This window comes from Homo sapiens, chromosome 16 (genome assembly GCF_000001405.40).
Source record: "Homo sapiens chromosome 16, GRCh38.p14 Primary Assembly".
NCBI classification, from domain to species: domain Eukaryota; kingdom Metazoa; phylum Chordata; class Mammalia; order Primates; family Hominidae; genus Homo; species Homo sapiens.
The window spans coordinates 53,534,833-53,543,437 of NC_000016.10; the positions used below are offsets into that span (position 1 = coordinate 53,534,833).

The 8,605-nt window shown below is 49.3% G+C and overlaps 1 annotated feature.

Moving 5' to 3' along the window:
* Positions 309–468: an enhancer, noted in NCBI's record as "active region_10846". NCBI's record gives its function as "activates an Ori minimal core promoter by ATAC-STARR-seq in GM12878 lymphoblastoid cells {active_cell/tissue: GM12878}" and the evidence as "EXISTENCE:reporter gene assay evidence [ECO:0000049][PMID:35858748]".

Here is an 8,605-nt window from a genome sequence, read left to right on the forward strand (position 1 = left end):
AAAACTTGAAAGACAGCACAACAGCCTGTTGTAGAAGTTGTAACTGCCTACTCGGGAGGCTGAGGCAGGAGAATCGCTTGAACCCGGGAGGTGGAGGTTGTAGTGAGCTGAGATCGCACCACTGCACTCCAGCCTGGGCAACAGAGGGAGTTTCCGTCTCAAAAAAAAAAAAAAAAAAATTTACAACTGTGTCTCTGTCTTACTTCTAGGGAAAGTCCTGTGGTTCTTCACAAATGCACCTCATCCTTGGCACTTTGTGAGGTGGAAGAGACAGAGCATGCCACTCACAGTACTTGTTATTCACATTACTCATTATTCACATTTCTGGAAGCAAAATGTACTATTGTATTGAGTCAGCTGCTGAAAGAGAAGTGTCCTGTGACATAGCACAAGCTGTGACAGGCAGTGAGATAGCAGGGACTGGGGTGATCCATGCGGGGTTGCACAGCCAGAGTCCTGTGCTGGTTCTCCCACTGACACCTGTGTTTCCCCAGACTCTCAACACTTCATTCATTCATTCATTCATTCATTCATTCATTCATTTTTGAGACAGAAACTCACTCTATTACCCAGGCTGGAGTGCAGTGGCACCATCTTGGCTCACTGCAACTTCTGCCTCCCGGGTTCGAGTGATTCTTGTGCCTCAGCCTCCCAAGTAGCTGAGATTACAGGTGTGCACCACCACACCTGGCTAATTTTTCTTTTTTTTTTTTTTTTTTTAGTAGAGACTGGGTTTCACCATGTTGGTCAGGCTGGTCTTAACTCCTGACCTCAGATGATCCACCCACCTTGGCCTCCCAAAGTGCTGGGATTCCAGGCATGAGCCTTCGCACCTGGCCGCAGACCCTCAACACTTCAGAGCCTCAGTTTCCCTCACCTGCTAAAGTTGCGCCTAGGATCTCTAAGGTCCCTTCCATCTATAAATTGTTAGTCATCATTCTGTGATGACATACTACTTCTTGTGTGACAAGTTGGGAGCTCCCTCAATCCCTGAAGCACATGCCCACGCCTCTCCCAGGGTCATTTGGATACCACCTATGTGATTTATGCCACATCTGCTGGCCACCTGCTCTACTGGTCGTTTATCCTGTTCCTTCAAACGAACTCACTTTTTAAAACAAATTTAAATGGGTTTATTTTAAAAGTAAACTTTTGACAGGGCACAGTAGCTCATGCCTATAATCCCAGCACTTTCGGAGGCCAAGGTGGGTGGATCACTTGAGCCCAGGAGTTTGAGACCAGCCTGGGAACATAGTAAGACCATGTCTCTACAAAAAATAAACACACACACACACACACACACACACACACACGCCAGGGATGGTGGCGCATGCCTGTAGTCCCAGCTACTTGAGGGGGCAGAGATGAGAGGATTGCTTGAGCCTGGAAGGTTGAGGCTGCAGTGAGCTGTGACTGCACCACTGTGCTCCAGCCTGGGTGACAGAGAAGGACTGTGTCTCAAAAATAAATAAACAATAGTAAGTTTTTTTTTTTTTTTGAGACAGAGTCTCACTCTGTCACCCAGGCTGGAGTTCAGTGGTGTGACATCAGCTCGCCGAAACCTTGGCCTCCTGAGTTCAAGGGATTATCCTACCCCAGCCTCCCGAGTAGCTGGGATTACAGGCATGCACCACCATGCCTGGCTAGCTTTTTTATTTTTAATAGAGACGGGGTTTCACCATATTGGTCAGGATGGTCTCAAAGTCCTGGCCTCAAGTGATCCACCTGCCTCAGCCTCCCAAAGTGTTAGGATTACAGGCATGAGCCACCACGCCTGGCCTAGAAGTAAACTTTATATCACAGTGATAAATGGGGAAAAAATATCAGTGAGACCAGCTAATTAGAAGCCAACTAAAAAATAAATACCATGAAAGCAGAGCAATGTTGCCAATTTCTGGTTTGATACTATTACAGCTGGAGACTTGAGTCTGTCTGCTTGCTTTTTTTTTTTTTTAAAAGGAGGTGTGATTGAAGAGAGGTGTTAAAGACTTATTAGCTCCAAACTAAGACTTTCTGCTTGCTTTCTCTGAAGGCTTAAAAGATAATTGAAAAGGGAATAACTTTGTCCTTTGGTGACTCAGTGTTGTTAATGCCGTGTCTACCTAATACAATTTCCCATTACATACAGGTACACCTCCCACACTTTGAGAAACATCAAATTTGGCGTGCATTGTAATAATTTATATAGGAGCTGGTTCCTTTGCTTCCCCTGACTGAACTCCCAGAGGCCAGGTGCATTCTGGTTTCTCTATCTCTGCAGCCCTACCAGACGTCCCTTCTGACCTCCTGGCAGAGGGCTTGGCGGCATCTAGAGCAGGTCAAGCCTTATGGAGGTGTGATAAGAGTGAGTCAGGGAACGAAGCAGGGGCAGCCACCATCACCAGCAAGAGGAGATCTCAGTCCTGGTTGCTGTTGCACAAAATTAATGAGCTTTGTCTGACGTTCTAAAGAGTGGGGAAAGGGGCACAGCAAAGGAGGAGTCAGGCCTAAGTTCAAGTGCTGTTTTGCGATGATTTTCAGAGACACTCAAGTCTCTCAGTGGGTATAAGTCTACAAAACAGTAATTACAGAACGAATGCTTAAAATAAGTAAACGTTTTAGAGAATTTTTTAAATGAAAAAACACGAGGTTTAGCGTCTCTCATACTTTTTTCATGAAAAATTAGAGCCGAGCCACCCCTGCAATGGGACAAATGGAGGCCCTACCTGGACAGCTCATAGCAGACACCCTGGGGGTGCAGCTGGCCTCCATAGTTTAAAACCTCCCCTGGTGATTCTGACAGGCAGCCAAGGCTGAGAACACTGGATCAGAAAATTCACAAATAAAGAGAAAAACTTGGCCCAGATGAATGTGTTTGCTCATTACCACATCGGCCCCCTCTGTACCAGATAACTCCTTGTGCCCCAAAACACACATCTCATCTCCATTTTGTGGCCTTTGAAAATAAGTCAGCTATACTCTCAACGTCATTCGCCATTAGGGAAATGCTAATTAAAACCACAATGAGGTGCCACTTCACACCCAGTAGAATGATTATTATCAAAAAATGAAAAATAACAAGTGTTGGCAAAGATGTGAAGAAATTGGAACCCTCGGGCATTGCTGATGGGAACGTAAATGGTGTAGCTGTGATGGAAAATGTGGTGGTTCCTCAAAAAGCTAAATGTAGAATTATCATATGACCCTGCAATTTCACACCTACGTATATCCAGAAGAATTGAAAACAGGGACCCAGGCAAGTACCTGTACACACACAGTAGCCAAGTGGTAGGAACAATTCAAGTGTCCATCCACAAATGAGTGGATAAACAAAGTGGTGTACACATATACAATTATTCAGCCACAAAAAGGAATTGAGCATTATTCAGCCATAAAAAGAAACGCAATTCTGAGAATCCTACAAATGAGCAAATTTTGAAAACATTATGCTAAGTGAAATAAGCCAGACCCAAAAGGAAAAATATTGTACAATACCCCTTACAGGAGATATGTAGAATAAGCAAATTCATAGAGAAGTAGAATAGGTTAGCAGGGGCTGGGAGAGGTTGGTGTCTAATGGGTCCAGAGTTTCAGTTTGGAATGATGAAAAAGTTCTGGAAATAGGTAGTGGTAATAGTTACATGAAATCGTAAATGTGCTTGTAGGAGTCCATTCTACATTGCTATAAAGAAAAAGCTCTCCCTCTCCCTCCTCTCCCTCCTCTCCCTCCTCTCCCTCCTCTCCCTCCTCTCCCTCTCCCTCTCTTTCCACGGTCTCCCTCTCCCTCTCTTTCCATGGTCTCCCTCTGATGCCGAGCAGAAGCTGCACTGTACTGCTGCCATCTCGGCTCACTGCAACCTCCCTGCCTGATTCTCCTGCCTCAGCCTGCCGAGTGCCTGTGATTGCAGGCGCGTGCCGCCACACCTGACTGGTTTTCGTATTTTTTTGGTGGAGACGGGGTTTCGCTGTGTTGGCCGAGCTGGTCTCCAGCTCCTAACCGCGAGTGATCTGCCAGCCTCGGCCTCCCGAGGTGCCGGGATTGCAGACGGAGTCTGGTTTACTCAGTGCTCAATGGTGCCCAGGCTGGAGTGCAGAGGCGTGATCTCGGCTCGCTACAACCTCCACCTCCCAGCCGCCTGCCTTGGCCTCCCAAAGTGCCGAGATTGCAGCCTCTGCCCGGCCGCCACCCCGTCTGGGAAGTGAGGAGCGTCTCTGCCTGGCCGCCCATCGTCTGGGACGTGAGGAGCCCCTCTGCCTGGCTGCCCAGTCTGGAAAGTGAGGAGCATCTCTGCCTGGCCGCCATCCCATCTAGGAAGTGAGGAGCGCCTCTTCCCGGCCGCCATCCCATCTAGGAAGTGAGGAACGTCTCTGCCCGGCTGCCCATCGTCTGAGATGTGGGGAGCGCCTCTGCCCCACCGCCCCGTCTGGGATGTGAGGAGCGCCTCTACCCGGCCGCGACCCCGTCTGGGAGGTGAGGAGCGTCTCTGCCCGGCCGCCCCGTCTGAGAAGTGAGGAGACCCTCCGCCTGGCAACCGCCCCGTCTGAGAAGTGAGGAGCCCCTCTGCCCAGCAGCCGCCCCGTCTGAGAAGTGAGGAGCCCCTCTGCCCGGCAGCCGCCCCGTCTGAGAAGTGAGGAGCCTCTCCGCCCGGCAGCCACCCCGTCTGGGAAGTGAGGAGCATCTCTGCCCAGCAGCCACCCCGTCCGGGAGGGAGGTGGGGGGGTCAGCCCCCCGCCCGGCCAGCCGCCCCGTCCGGGAGGGAGGTGAGGGGGTCAGCCCCCCGCCCGGCCAGCCACCCCGTCCGGGAGGGAGGTGGGGGGGTCAGCCCCCCGCCCAGCCAGCCGCCCCGTCCGGGAGGGAGGTGGGGGGGTCAGCCCCCCTCCCGGCCAGCCGCCCCTACTGGGAAGTGAGGAGCCCCTCTGCCCGGCCACCACCCCGTCTGGGAGGTGTACCCAACAGCTCATTCAGAGCGGGCCATGATGACAATGGCAGTTTTGTGGAATAGAAAGGGAGGAAAGGTGGGGAAAAGATTGAGAAATCGGATGGTTGCCGTGTCTGTGTAGAAAGAGGTGGACATGGGAGACTTTTCGTTTTGTTCTGTAGTAGGAAAAATTCTTATCCTGTTGATCTGTGACCTTGCCCCCAACCCTGTGCTCTCTGAAACATGTGCTCTGTCCACTCAGGGTTAAATGGATTAAGGGTGGTGCAAGATGTGCTTTGTTAAACAGATGCTTGAAGGCAGCATGCTCGTTAAGAGTCATCACCACTCCCTAATCTCGAGTACCCAGGGACACAAACACTGCGGAAGGCCGCAGGGTCCTCTGCCTAGGAAAACCAGAGACCTTTGTTCACTTGTTTATCTGCTGACCTTCCCTCCACTATTGTCCTATGACCCTGCCAAATCCCCCTCTGCGAGAAACACCCAAGAATGATCAATTAAAAAAATAAATAAATAAAATAAATAAATAAATAAATAAATAAATAAATAAAAAGAAAAAGCTCTGGAAATGGGTAGTGGTGATACTTACATGAAATTGTAAATGTGCTTGTATGGGTCCCTTCTTGCTTTGCTATAAAGAAACCTGAGACTGGGTAATTTATAAAGGAAAGAGGTTTAATTGACTCACAGTTCCACAGGCTGTACAGGAAGCATGGCTGGGGAGGCCTCAGGAAACTTACAATCCTGGCAGAAGGCGAAGGGAAGCAGGCACGTCCTACACAGCCAGGCAAGGAGAAAGAGAATGAAGGTGGAGGTACTACACACTTTTAAACAACTAGATTGTGTAAGAACTCACTCACTATCACAAGAACAGCAAGGGGGAGATCAGCCCCCAAGATCCGATAACTTCCCACCAGGCCCCTCCTCCAACATTGGGGATTACAATTTGACATGAGATTTGGGCGGGGACACAGATCAAACCATATCACTGCTTAATGCCACATAATTGTACACTTAAAAAGATCGAAATGATAAGTCTTATGTTATATACATTTTAATCACAATCTTTAAAAAAACAAACAAACTAATAAACTGGAAAAAAGAAAAGCCAGCTACAATGGGCCTCTCTAGGCATAGGGAGATCTTTCTAAACTCTACAGGGAACAGACCCATAAAGTCAGCGGAGAGACCCATAGAGTCAGTACGCATCTCCTGGGATCAAACCCCATGGATGCAGGCTTCTCTCTCGATCTCTGTGCCTCCGTTCTCTTAATAAAGTGAGGATACCAACATTGCTCACCTATTTGGTATGTAACAAGACTGAGTGAAATATGTATTCATATTGCATGAACAGGCATACGTATGAACAGGCATATGTAAAGCATTCAGCACAGTGGCCGGTATACAGTAAGTGCTCAATGATATTAATAGCTACTGATACCACTATCATCATCACCCATGCATACAGGGAAGTGTCTACCTTGACCCTGATCTCCATTCCAAAGGCGGGATGTATTTTGAGGGTGATGAAAATATTCTGGAATTAGTGGTGATGGTGGCACGACCTTCTGAATATACTAAAACCCACTGAATTGTAGTATGCTTTAAAATGGTGGATTTTGTAGTACATAAGTTATATCTGTTTTTCCAAAGGAAGATTATACAGTCACATAAAGTTTTCTGTGATGTAGACAGAATTGTGTGTAGGCGGTACATATTTGCTAAGCCTCAAAGTCATGGACACCACACACAAGGGCGATTTGCCAGCATAGCAGAGAAAGGCTTGCGTGCTGCTGATAGTTTGTAAGAGCTCCCCTGGGGGTGTCGGTAAGCAGCCCGGCTCAGACCCTGGGAGGCCCAGTCACCTCTGTTCTCTCAGAAAAACAAGAAGCCGCAGCATGGACCCATCATCTTGCAACACGTGTGATAACCTCCTCTGAACCTCCAGGCCTGGCGTGAAGGATGTCACGCCTGTTTAGCCACCCGTGGGGGTCGATACCTGCCACACATGCAATTGGCTGGGAAGGTGGCCAGCCTGAGTCTGAGGTCTCCCCTTGACCAGGCAGCAACATTAGCATCCACAGCGGTGTCAACACCTGCCTCCCAGCAGGTACCATGCATGATAGGTGGCTTGTCTTCATGGACAAACTCTGAAGACCGGGGACCACTCACCTCCTGACCTTGCCTGTTTCCACCACAGCCTCGGGGCCAGCCATACCTGGCTCTTTAGTTACCTACTGAAAGGGAGGAGTGGAATCGGACCTTCCGGTGGCAAAATCCAACAAAAACCCCTGGCGTGTGGGGTATCCCGCTGAAATGGAATCAGGCTCACCAACATCCCAAATCCATAATCTCCCTGCCCCTTCCACCTTCACACACACCGCCTCCAGCTTTTGCCCTGCCTTGTCCCTAGAATCCCTTCTTACCTTGGTTCGTAAGATAAACTTGCAGGGCAAGAGGGATGGAGGAAGATCAGCCACGAACCAGCAATCCCAGCCTCACTTGTAAGCAGGGATAACACCGGCCTTGAAAGACAGCTCGAGCAGAAGGTGGGACGATGCCGATCACCTTGGAGAGGTCTCGGCCATCTTGAAGGAAATGCTCAGAAGGGGCACCTGCTTCACGGTGTTAACAAGAATGGGCAGCACCTGCTTCGGCGCCACGGGGTCAGCATCCGCGCGGGCCGCGCCCCGCACCTGGCAGCTGCTGACACAGCACCGGGACGCATTTCCTGCCTGGGTCACTCAGAGGCGCTCAAGCCTAGGATCCAAGCTGGAGGGCTGGGTGCGGAGAGTATTTGGCAGGTGTTGTGGGAAGGCGGGAGGTGTGAGCAGGGGACGGATTCAAAGTTTTCTTGTAACCCGGAGACTGGAATTTTGTGAATAAGTTGGAACTATTTCCTTCTGGGACAGGAGAGACAATTCCTGCTCATACTGTTTGTGTGATAAGACAGAAATCTAGCAACACCCAACCCGAATCCATCAAGAGAAGAGTTGGAAAATGTGTGGGCTCTCGGGACAGAGGAAGACAGAACAACAACCAACATTTCAGTCTGGAGGATAATCTCCAAGGCTCAAATATAGGTATTCAGGGAAACATTGCCCCACACACGAAAACTTCAATGCTACTATGATTATTTAGGAAAGATATCATGCTTAAATATTCACAGTGTATTGTCTGCCAATCATACCTCAATAAAGCACATGAAAATTTAAAAGATATTAGCCGGGCGTATTGGCTCACGCCTGTAATCCCAGCACTTTGGGAGGCCGAGGCGGGTGGATCACGAGGTCAGGAGTTTGAGACCAGCTTAGCCAACATGGTGAAACTCCATCTCTACTAAAAATACAAAAAATTAGCTGGGTGTGGTGGCAGGTGCCTGTAATCCCAGCTACTCGGGAGGTCGAGGCAGGAGAATCGCTTGAACCCAGGACGTGGAGGTTGCAGTGAGCTGAGATCACGCCACTGCACTCCAGCCTGGGCAACAGAGTGAGACTCTGTCTCAAAAAAAAAAAAAAAAAAAAAGTTAGATATTATTAGCGACCTGCCCCTTGAAGTTTAGGTATCAGGTCTCATTGACTTCTTGAACAGGGAGGAAGGGCAGGTGTGACCCACACTGTGGGGCGGAGGCTTCTGGTGTTCAGGTGATTTGTTGGAGGTCGGACAGGCAGAGTGGTGGAACTGGGCCT